Below are 12687 nucleotides of genomic sequence, written 5' to 3'. Positions count from 1 at the left end.
AATGGATGTGGCCTGGAGCAATCTTTTCTCTCTAGGACTATTTCTTCATCTGTGTTAGATGATTGCTACAGTCCCTTCTAGTTCCAACATGATATGACTCTCTAATTCTCCCTGCTATAGGTATAGAGATGTCTAAATTAGGCAGGTCAGCTGGTCAACCTGTGATTCCCTGGTTTTATGAGAGAGGAGATCACTATACCATAACATATCTTGCATATGCTTTCTGAAAATCTAAGGATTGGTAACTGTATCAGGTGTCTTGGCTGCAAAGATGAATTCTGGCTAGTTTAAGCAGAAAAGGGATTTATTACAAGAATTATCTGTGAGGTAACACAGAATCTCCAAAAGACAGAGAACCAGTTGAAATAATGACATTTGGCCAAACCCCATCCAACGCTGATCCTATGAGGACACTACTCAGTTTATAGGTATAAACGGAGCATTTGTTGAAGTCTCCTGAGTGTTGCTACGTAAGCAACCCTCCAGTGTACATTCTCTATTAAGGTAATTGGCTGCCCTTAGCATTGAAGCTGGCATACAGATGATATCACATTGTCTATGCTGAAATATGCAAAGAAATACAGATACTGCAAAAAAGAGCCCAATTATATGAGTCCTTTCCTCCCAGGATAAAAGCCAAAAACATACTTCACCAGCCTCCCTTGCTATTAGGCTCAGTCAATCAGATGCCCTTGCACCTGACTGATTATGGAGCTAGTGATGTAAGGAAGTGAGTGAGACAATAGCAAAGACATGGAACCAATCTAGGTGCCCATCAATGGTGGATTGGATAAAGAAAATGTGGTACACATATACCATAGAATACTATGCAACCATGAAAAGGAACAAAATCATGTCCTTTGCAGCAACATGAATGCAGCTGGAGGCTGATATTCTGAGTGAATTAATGCAGGAACAGAAAACCATATACCACATATTCTCACTTATAAGTGGGGGCTAAATATTTGGTACACATGGACATAGAGATGGCAACAATAGGCACTGGGTACTACTAGCGGGGGAAGAGAAGGAGGGGAGTAAGGGACTGAAAAACGACCTATTGGGTACTATGCTCCCTATCTCAGTGATGGATTCATTCATACCTCAAACCTCAGCGTCACACAATATACCCAGGTAACAAACCTGCACGTGAACCCCCACATCTAAAAGAAAAGTTGAAATTATATTAAAAAAGAAGAGAAGTGTATGAGACTTTGCTAATTAGCATAGTGAATATCCGAAAGGAGTTTTCACTGTGGAAACTAGTGACATTAATTAGCAAAATGAACATTAGATATGGGATATCATTATAATAAAAAAAACAATATTTAGGATACTGGTATGGGCTGAATTGTGTCCCTGCTACCAATTCATATGTTTAAGCCCTAAGCGCCAGTACCTCAGAATGTGACTATATTTAAAGATAGGATTTTTGAAGAGGTGATTACATTAAAATGAGGCCATTATTGTGGCCCTAATCCAATCTGACTGAAGTCCTTATAAGATGAGGGGATTTGGACACTCAGGGACACCAGGGATGTGCATGTACAGAGAAAAGGCCATGTGAGGACTCAGTGAGAAGATGACCATCTGCAAAACAAGGGGAGAGACCTCAGGAGAAACCAAGCCTGCCAACACCTGGATCTTAGCATTCCAGCCTCCAGCACTCTGGGAAAATAAATTTCTATTGTTACCAGCCTGTGGTCCCTCACAAACTAATACTGCTACCTCGATTGGCTAAAATATTAGAGCCCTTCCTGTTTTTAATGAAGAGGGTATAAGGCTCCAGCAAAGACTGCAGCCTTTTTCTTAGGGATAGTGCCTGAGACTTGATCGCTAACTGGCCCAGTGTCCACCCACTTAGTTGGAGAATTCCAAGTTGCCCGGCATGGCCTAGGAACCTTCCAGAATCCTGCCTCGGGCATGTTGCCATGTCTGCCTTGAGAAAATGTTTCAGTCAAGGTGGTGCTGAGAGCCCCTAAAAGGACAGAAAATGGGACTTCTTTGAGCTAACCAAACGTGTTGTATGAATTGTTAATAAGCAATTGTAAAGTAAATGTCTGTATATGGAGCAAAAAATTGGTTTAAGACTTGGTTTCCGTATTTGGTAGTGTGATAACGGGCATGCCTCGCCTCATGTGTGGCCACACTGGTTTGGGTCAGTTCATGGCGGGTGTTCACCAGTGCTGAGCAGCCATTACAATGACAAGTCTCTATCTTAGTGACCAAATGGGGACATGAACTCCATGACAAATCTCAGGCCTTAGTTTTCTGTGACCCAAATAATGGCCTCTATGTCAACTTTTAAATGAGGTTGTCCTTTCAATTAAGCCCTTATTTATGTTTTTCTTTCCTTTGGAATTGAGATTCTCAAAATATGTGCCACAAAACATTCTCAAAAATAGCTTTCTGTGATTAAATAAGTTTGGGAAACAGTTAAATGCCCTCTCTCCTTTCTTGGAGATACAGAACCTATTAGCATCACATTAAAGATCTGGAGAAGTCGGCCGGGCGCGGTAGCTCATGCCTGTAATCCTAGCACTTTGGGAGGCTGAGGCAGGTGGATCACCTGAGGAGTTTGAGAACAGCTTGGCCAACATGGTGAAACCCCATCTCTACTAAAAATACAAAAATTAGCCAGGCATGATGGTGCGGACCTGTAATCTCAACTACTACTTGAGAGGCTGAGGCAGGAGAATCACTTGAACCTGGGAGGTGGAGGTTGCAGTGAGCTGAGATTGCACCACTGCACTCCAGCCTGGGTAACAGAGCAAGACTCCATCTCAAACAAAACAAAACAAAACAAAACAAAAAAGCATCAACAACAAAAAGATCTAGAGAAGTCTATAGTAAAGAAACCTGTTCAAATTTACTTAACCTAGCATTACTCACGTGACCACAGATCATTTTTCCCCTTTTGGAGTACGCTGTTAAGTGGGGGGCTGGGAATGGGTGGAAATGGTTAATGGGTACACAAAATAGAAAGAATGAATAAGACAACGGGTGAATATAGTCAATAACTTAACTGTACATTTTAAAATAATGTATGGAGTGTAACTGAATTGTTTGCACTCAACGGATAAACGCTTGAGGGGACGGATAACCCAGTTGCCATGGTATGCTTATTTTACATTGCATGCCTGTTTCAAAACATCTCATGTACTCCATAAATATATACACCTACTATGTGCCTACAATAATTTTTTAAAAGAAATAAAATTTGCAAAAAAAAGAGAGAATACCTGTTAATATCCCAAGGAACTGTTGTTCTGCGGGACACTCTTATTTATTTATTTATTTATTTTTTGAGACGGAGTCTCACTCTGTCACCCAGGCTGGAGTGCAGTGGCGCGATCTCAGCTCACTGCAACCTCCTGGGTTCACTCCATTCTCCTGCCTTAGCCTCCCTAGTAGCTGGGACTACAGGCGCCCGCCACCACACCCTGCTAATTTTTTGTATTTTTTAGTAGAGACGGGGTTTCACCATGTTAGCCAGGATGGTCTCGATCTCCTGACCTCGTGATCCGGCTGCCTTGGCCTCCCAAAGTGCTGGGATTACAGGCGTAAGCCACCGCACCCGGCCTCTGCGGGACACTCTTATCTAAAATGTGGTTCTAGAAGGGTATTTGTGCCTGTGATTAGATTTGCCCCTTTTCTTTTTCACACAATGTCTTTCACTATTCAAACATGCAGTCAAGTTGAGCTCAGCAAGACATAGTTTTAAATCTATGTGAAATAAGTAATTGATGAAATGACTCATATGCCATCTCCTTTGATTCAGTGGTTTTTCTTTGAGTGGCCAAGAGCTTGCTTGGGAGTCACACAATGTGCGATGTATCAGAACCCGGGAAGACATCCCTGCAGGCATGCTGGAAAGGTTGGTCTCAGGCTGGTTAATGACTTCAAATGGCAATCCCAGGCTCTACATGCAGTAATCCTACTCCTAGTTGTTTAAATTCAAACACTTATTCTCTTAAATACTCATTATTTTCTAAAATTCAAATGAAATAAAGTAAAAGTATATAAAATTAAAATGGCACAAGCCAGAAATTTCTGGATGCAGATAAGACAAGAAAAACAATGAGCGAAACCCTCTTCATTGTTCCAAAGGCAGGGGCACACATTTGGAATTGTCCTTGAAGATGGGCACCCGTTCAGTATTGGGAAAATCCTGGGCTGGCAAAGGGTAGTTGCATTTGAAGTGAGAAATGTGTTCCAAAGAAAAGACAAAGAATAGCCATTTCTAGACAATGCTGTAGCTAAGGCTTATATAAACCATGAGGGGTAGGGTGGCATTTAAGGATGTTTCCATGCCAGATTTCTCCTCAGGAGTGTGTGCCTTACTTTGATACACCGAAGCATTAGCAAAACCCCAAGCAAACAGCTGTCTTCAGAGTCCTAATTGTGGGTCTCCCATGATAGGACAGTATGAAAAACAGCAAGAGAAAAAACATCCTTCTCTAGGATCATGTTTTAAATATGTATAGATACATGTGTCTGTGTGTATAATTGTATGTTTAATTTGTAGATCATGACTACAATGTGTTTTATTCTCCTCTTGGGAACACGCATCAACCTACTTCTCTCTCATATACATAAATGCCATCAGGGCAACTACTCAAGCAGAATCCTAGCAGCCACCCCGATTGCTGCTGCTTCTCCACCTGCTACACTCAGTCTATCAGCAGCTGCTGTTGCCTGCAAAGTGACCCCAGATCCACTCATTTCTATTTCCATTGTTATGACCTAGCCCAAGATACCAACACCTCATGTAGATCACTGCAGTTCCTGTTAATTTGTCATTCTGTAATGGCAGAACCAATTCAACGTTGTCAGTAACAAAATGATGAGTTTTTCAGTGCAAGGGACCCCCAGGTTGCTGGTCACATTACCTGAGCATGCCCAAATGAACTAAGGGTACCTGATTCAGGACCCTGGAGCCAGCTGGAATAAAAAAGTCAATGATGTGTGGAACCCAAGTGCTTGGATCAAGGAGCAAGGGCCAAATTAAGAAGCAAGGGGTGCCCTGTTTTGCTGCCGTATGGACTTAACCAAAGACCTGGCGTGACTTCTTTGCATGATCCAATCAGATCATGCCTTGTTTCATTTTCCTGTCCCTTGCATTGTTGCTGTTTGCCTGGAAAACCTGCTCTCAAACCCTTGTTCAGGAAGACAGATTTGAGTGTTGGCTCCTGTCTCCTTGGCAGTTGACTTGCAATAAAGCCCTTTCTTTTCTCAAAAGCTGGTGCCATAGTACTGACTTCTGTGTACCTTAGGCAGTGAGGCCATTGTTTGGCAACATTCCTGCTGATGATTTTGGGTAAAACAGTTACTCTCTTGATTCAATTTGCTTCTGGTAAAATAGGGGTAATAATAGTTTCTACTTCCTAGGATAGCAGTGAGGTTTAAATGAGAAAAGGATATCCAATATTTAGCAGAATGCCAGGGCTATGGTGAGTTCTCAACAAATATTAATATTTTTTACCACTACTGCAATATATCCTCAATTCCAAGGAGTATTTCCATTGGAGATTTTAATGTCAATAGTGAAATCTCTTGAGCATGTGCTATAAAATACCTTATTTTTCTGTGTAGCTAATACGATATTAAATGCCATGATTGTATGTTTACAGACTGTTAGTTCACTGACATATTTTGGGGATTCATGCGAGAATTTCTATAACTGAAGTTTAGGGATGACAAATGCTAAATATACATAAAGTATCACTCCTAAAATGTTATCGTCTTTCACTGGGGAGTAGTAACTAACTCATATATTGACTTTTGCACAGGCAGAAGCCAGGTTGAGGATTAGAGGAGTTTATATAAAAAGATTAAGACAAACTGGAGAACTGAGAATTAAGAGCATCTTCCAAATGCTACTCACTATGCCTCTATGCATCTTTATTATAAATTTAGGATTCTGAGGCTAATGAGATTCCAAGATCCCAATTCAGAAGTCTCACGATAGGACTGAATTCACAAAGCAGCATCTACTTATTGGAAGAGTCTATTAGTTCTATAAGGGACTATTATAACATTATCTTGACAAATTCCAGGGTTAGGAAATTGCAAATTACATGCTTATCAGTTAAACTCTGAATCTTGTAAGGCTGCCCACGTTTTGAAGATCTGATAATCAGATTGTTGTTCTCCTACAGTCCAGATACGTTCTGAGAGTTGTGTCCTTCCTTAGGCGATTTCATCTTTGTGTGAACATCATAGAGTGAACTTACACACACCTGGATGGTATAGGCTATTACATGCCTAGGCTATATGGTATAGCCTATTGTTCCTGAGCTACAAACAAGTACAGCATGTTACTGTACTGAATATTGTAGGAAATTGTAACACAATGGTAAGTATTTGTGTAGCTAAACATATCTAATCTTAGAGGAGATACAATAAAATACAGTATTATAATCTTATGAGTCTACTGTCATATATGCAGTCCATGGTGGACAAAAGTCATTAGGCAGCACATGAATATATTTTGCCAGAGGCCTTCCTTGTCTAAGGTGGCATCTTGGCATTTCTAAGCAACTAATTTGATGATAGTTTTCAAATGCCGTTCATCAATGATGATGGATAACTTTGGTTTATGGACTGTGGATAAATGATGTCAATCAAACCAATTAAATTCAATCTTAAGGAACGAGACTTTCAATCAATTGATCTTTTTATCTTATAATGCCAAAAACCCATTTGTGATATTTCTTATCTTAAATTGACTAGTTTTAAAAATGGATGTATTGAGTACATATTTTGGCTATTTACTATGGATATCGGAAGGCAGAAAGTAAGTTCTAGGACATGGTCATGCTATGACCTAGCTCAAACTATGCATGAATGAAGCTTTGTGTTGTATATTGATTATGGAGCAGAGAAAAGAAGAAACAACTTCTTTATTTTGATACCTTTAGAAGAAGCACACAGACCAAGCCTCTGGATAGGATGATCTATTGCTAATTCACAGGTTAGAGGAGGCACAACTATAGGACACCAACTATAATACTGTTGACAGGATTGTTGTATGTTTATATGAATGGCCCAAATGCTAATCTGTGTATTAAAAGCAATCCCTCATGTTCTTATTAGAGAGAGGTAGAAAATGGAGGTATAGGGGCACATGAGTGAGGTTATTGCACACTGCAGACCGGTGCACTGGTTCCTGAATGCCTTCTCCATCCAGAGTCCACTTTATGTGATTTCATGCCCCAGGCCTGCCGACAAGGGCCTGATAGAGGCTGTGGTGGAAGAGCCTGTTCTGTTTGGGATGGTGAGGATTGAATGACTCCATTTTCCTCACAGTAAAGAGTTGCCTTGTATATTGTATTAGACAGGGTTCTCCAGAGAAGCAGAACCAATAGAATTTCTCTTTCTCTCTAAGAGCGGGGTACATGAGCTTTGACTCATGTTATTCTGGAGGCTGGGAAGTCTCATGATATTCCAGGTGGAAGCTGGAGAACCAGGGAAGCTAAAGGTATAATTCAGTCTGAGTCTAAAGGCCTGAAAACTGGGGGAGATGATGGTATAATTCTCAGTCCGAGGTTAACGGCTTGAGAATCTGGGGGGTGGGAGGCACTGGTGTAAATCCCTGAGTCCTAAAGCCCCAGAACCTGGAGTTCTGATGTCTGCGGGCAGGAGAAGGTGGATGTCCCAGATCCAGGAGGGCAAATTCGCCCTTTCTCTGCCTTTTTATTCTACTTTGGCCCTTGATGGATTGGATGATGCTCACCCTTCTTGGTGAGGGCAATCTTCCTCACTCAGTCCTCTGATTCAAATGCTAATCTCTCAGAAACACCCTCACAGACATACTCAGAAATATTATTTTACCAAGCACCTGAGTATCCATTAATCCAGTCAGGTTTATACCTAAAATTAACCATCACATATAAGAAATGCAATACATCTCAAATGAGGAAAGATTGAATGATACCTTTGGCTTTTGACACAATTAAAAATGGTTTACCAGGCTGAATTATTTAGTAATTACTTAGTATTTATTGAATATATGGCCATTTTGTTATTATTCAATGTTATAAAAGGCAGTGTCTTTTCTAGACCATAGATTACCCAAATTTTGTGAAGCAGGTAAGATTTGACAATGAACTATTGGCGTCTTGGGAATTGTTTACACTTATAATTAAATTATTAGCTATGCTGTACATGATTATAAATTTAAATATGGAATTCAGCCACTAGTAATCATAGTAAACTTTAGTTAATTTATGCTTTCCAAGGGGAAGAGAAGAATTAAGTAAAAGCTCTTAACTCATGCTTTTAAAAAATTTTTATCTTTGAGTTGACTCTAATCTTTATAAAAGGTGAGTATTATTGGATTAGAGTTCATTTAACAATCATCTAGTTAATCTGTGCAACTAGTTTAGATCACTCTGTCTCCTCCAAAAATCTAGGACATATTGAAAACCTATCGCCAATAGTGAAGGAATCTCTTCTGTGCATTTGTGGTGTGTATACAAATGTGTGTGCTTTAGAGTGATATGGTAACTTATTAGCTCTGTCCACCCATATTTCCAAGCTGTTCTTTTAGGCAAATGGTAGGAATGAATTTCTATGCCCTTTTGGAACATGGCTAAGTGACTTGATTTGGCCAGTAAAATGTGATTGGAGATGATGTGTGTCACTTCTGGACAGAAACCTGTAAAAGACAGTGCAAAATTTTCCAGCTTTCCTTCCTCTAGCTTCAGTCACAGTAAATGACAGCCTTTTTCTTTCTTCTTCTTTTTTTTTTTTCTTTAGAAGGAGTCTCCCTCTGTCGCCCAGGCTGGAGTGCAGTGGCTTGATCTCGGCTCACTGCAAGCTCCGCCTCCCAGGTTCACGCCATTCTCCTGCCTCAGCCTCCCAAGTAGCTGGGACTACAGGTGCCCGCTACCACGCCCGACTAATTTTTTTTTGTATTTTTAGTAGAGACGGGGTTTCACTGTGTTAGCCAGGATGGTCTCGATCTCCTGACCTCATGATCCAACCGCCTTGGCCTCCCAGAGTGGTGGGATTACAGGCGTGAGCCACCACACCCGGCCGAAATGACAGCCTTTGGTTGTATAAGCTCTGGTGGAATGGGCCTGGATCTAGATGACCTGACCTGACCATGACCCATGATCAACTTGTAGCTTAAGTAATAAATAAGTTTTCGCTGTCCCAAGCTCTTGAGATTTTAGGCTTGTTTTACTAAAAGCAACACAGTTTAGCCCATCCTATCTAACATAAATGATAACAGCAACTCCAGATGTGGCACGGCCATGCCCTTTAAGAACTAGAAAAGATAGATAACAATTATGATTAAAAACCATAAATAGTGCTAATTATAAAGCCATCACAAAGTAAAATCATGGCTTATTTAGATGGAATAAAATAAGAACTATAATAACAACATACTATTTGGAGGTAGAAGACAAAATTATCAATATGAATCATAAAAATGATATAATTGTCCATCTAAAAACCCGAGACAATCAACTAAAAAATTACTAGATCAACAAGATGAATGTAGGCAAAATAAAGGTTCAGAAATCAACAGTTTTCTTTGATATCAACTGTAAACAATTACAAAATTTAATGGAAAAAACAACCTTTTCAAAATGCAATACCATGTACCTATTCCAGAAAGATCAATTAGATAATTGTTTTAAAGTTTGCAAAAAGATGTGCTAGAAGGATCAGTGAGACACAAATAAAATTGGTTCCCTACAGGTGATGGGGACAAATGAGGTGCAGACAGTAGGGGTAGAGGCAAGGCCTGTCGATGTATTTCTATCTATATAGATTTGACCTTTTCATCATATAAGCGCAAATGAACTTGGATCACCCGGGAAAATAGTTTCAATATTTAAAAACATAGGGAGAAACTAAAAGGGAAAAACTGGATAGATTTGACTGTATAAAGCTTAAAATTTCTGTATGTTAACACCATGAACCAGATAAAAATTAAATGACAAACCATGAAAATATTTACAATATGTAAATAACCAAGGAGGTATTATTATATATTCACAATCTTTTCAGCTCAAGAAAACTATAAGCAGTCCAGCAGAAAAGTAGGTAAAAAATGCAAAAGATAATTAATTATAATTACATATAGATAAAATACAAGTGGCCATTAAATTGGAGAAGAGTAAAGACCAATTTCAACAGTGATCGAATAAATAAAAATTAAAATGAGATATAATTTTTAATTGAGCAATTTGGCAAGGATTAAGAAGAAAGCTAATACACGATGTTGAGAAGACTATGATAAAATAGATAATTTGATAATAGAAAGGTGAAAAAGTAGATTACAAAAATATTTGTGACTTGTTTTTCAAGTAAAAAATACATGCATATGTATTTAGAATTAAAAAATCTTGGACAGAAATACATATTAGCTTTTAATTTTTGGTTTCATATTAAATTTTATTTTTTATATCTGTATTTAAAATTTTAATGTATTTGCCAAAATTTCCACAAAACCATGTAGTATTTTTACAAAGAGAAAAAATTTTTAAAGAATGTGAGATAAGAATCTAAAGTCCTTATGAGTCCAGTTTCCTCATACTTTCTACAGAAATCTCTCTTTCATTAAATTCTAATTAAACATTATTTCCCAAGGATGTCATCACTAAGGATAACTGCTCAAAAATATTTTTGAGTTATTTTAAATGTAATTATAATAATGTAGCAGAAATGTTTTCCTTGTTTTTATGGCACATGTGTATAATTTTAGCTATACTATGAATTTGTTAGGTTTAGACTACACACCTGACTATTTACAGCACTGTCCCTTTGGAAAATGGGTTCTGACCTTTAAACTATGAATTTAAAAAGAAAGTTTTGGGATACAACTCATTTATGCGTATCTTGTGCTTCTAGATCTTGTAATGTGAATTTCTCATCATTTATTGTTCTTTAACATTCTGCAGGGGACTTTATGGGTGTCTTATGATCTCAGATGAGACTGGAAACTGGTCTGGAATGACAGGTATACACACTGCTAGGCAGGTAGGATCATTTCTTCACACTTCCAAGAGTATACAGTAGGCACTCAATAAACACTAGTAGAACAAAATAGAAGACAGTCTTGGTTTGGAAGAAGGCAGGGCATCAGGTTGCTGCAGAGGGCTGAGCCTGAGGCTGACAGACTGCATCCAGCACGGGTGAGGGCACAGCATTGTCTTCCTGGTTCCTTGGCCTAGATACAGGGTGCAGATTGCATTTCACTTCATTGGCTTTAGGTTGGGAGCTAAGCTTGCTATTAATAGTTCCTCCTTAGTCTTGTGTTTGGTTTCTTCACTCTCACACACCTGGTGAGGCTCCTTCTCCAGAGAGGGGCTGTTTCCTGAACTCAGAGTTTTGTGCGTCTTGGACTTGGGCTTCCAAGAATTCACCCCTCTTGGGATCAGTCAGCTTTGCGACAGATGTCTCTTAACTCTGAAGAGAGTTCTCTCTCCTGTCGGAGCACTCAGAAAAATTTCTCTTATTATTTTTTTCCTCCTAAAAACCCACCATTAAAGTCAAGCCAGTAACAATGTAAAATTATTTTTATGATGCTTTGCAGCATACTACGCTCTCAATTTACCCATATTTCATAGTAATGGGGGGATTGACCCTGTCCCCTTTCTAAAACTAAGCAATAAAAACCTCTATGTTTTCCAGGAATGTTCTCTCCAAGGGACACATGCTTTTACGCAGAAGGCTCTTACTTCCTGTGACAGAAATTTTAGTGGGGCATGGACTATGGTTCAGATAATGCTACCCCTGCTTTCTTACCACTGGCCCCACCAGGAACTTCTCTTACAAATAAGCCCTTTGTTGATGAGTGGGTTTGCCTGTCATCTCCTCCAGAACATAACATGGCACATAGGTCTTAGAGGCTGCTGGTATCCATTAGCATTTAAGAGGCTAAAGAGACCCCCTTGGGGGAAAATGTGGCCAGCATGCTGGTCATCTTTGAAGCTCAAGGTAAGGCTACCATTAAGTGAGACTTGGAATGGTTGTTCCTTAAAATATGAACCACAGGCCACCTGGATCAAAATCATCCCAGGAGCTTGTTAGGAAAGCAAATTCCTGGGCCCCACTCCAGAATTTCAGTTCCTGGAGAGGGAAGACTTAGGATTTGTGTTTTTTTTTTTTTTTTGAGATGGAATTTCACTCTTGTTACCCAGGCTGGAGTCCAGTGGTACCATCTCGGCTCACTGCAAGCTCCGCCTCCAGGGTTCAAGTGATTCCCCTGCCTCAGCCTCCCTAGTGGCTGGGATTATAGGCACACGTCACCATGCCTGGCCGATTTTATATTTTTAGTAGAGACAGGGTTTCACCATGTTGGCCAGGCTAGTCTCAAACTCTTGACCTCAGGTGATCCACCCGCCTAGGCCTCCCGAAGTGCTGGAATTACAGGCATGAGCCACCACGCCTGACCAGGATCTGCGTTTTTAACAAGAGCCTTGGGAAATTCTGGTACATACTCATTTAGAGGCTGGATGCCGAGTCTGGTTCTCTTTCTACCATGTGGGATGCCTCTCATCACTGTGTGCCTTAGCAAAATGCATTTTCCCGTCTTCTCTGGGGTGGACTACAGTGACCCAGCCACCCCTTTGCATGCACACTTTTATTTTTTCATTCTGCAGATATTGTGTGAGAATCTACTATGTTCTACATATTGAAAAATCGTGAGAAATCCAAAGATGGCAT

The sequence above is a fragment of the Homo sapiens genome, chromosome 15 (assembly GCF_000001405.40).
Source record: "Homo sapiens chromosome 15, GRCh38.p14 Primary Assembly".
Lineage (NCBI taxonomy): Eukaryota > Metazoa > Chordata > Mammalia > Primates > Hominidae > Homo > Homo sapiens.
Note: the sequence above shows the minus strand (reverse complement) of the source record.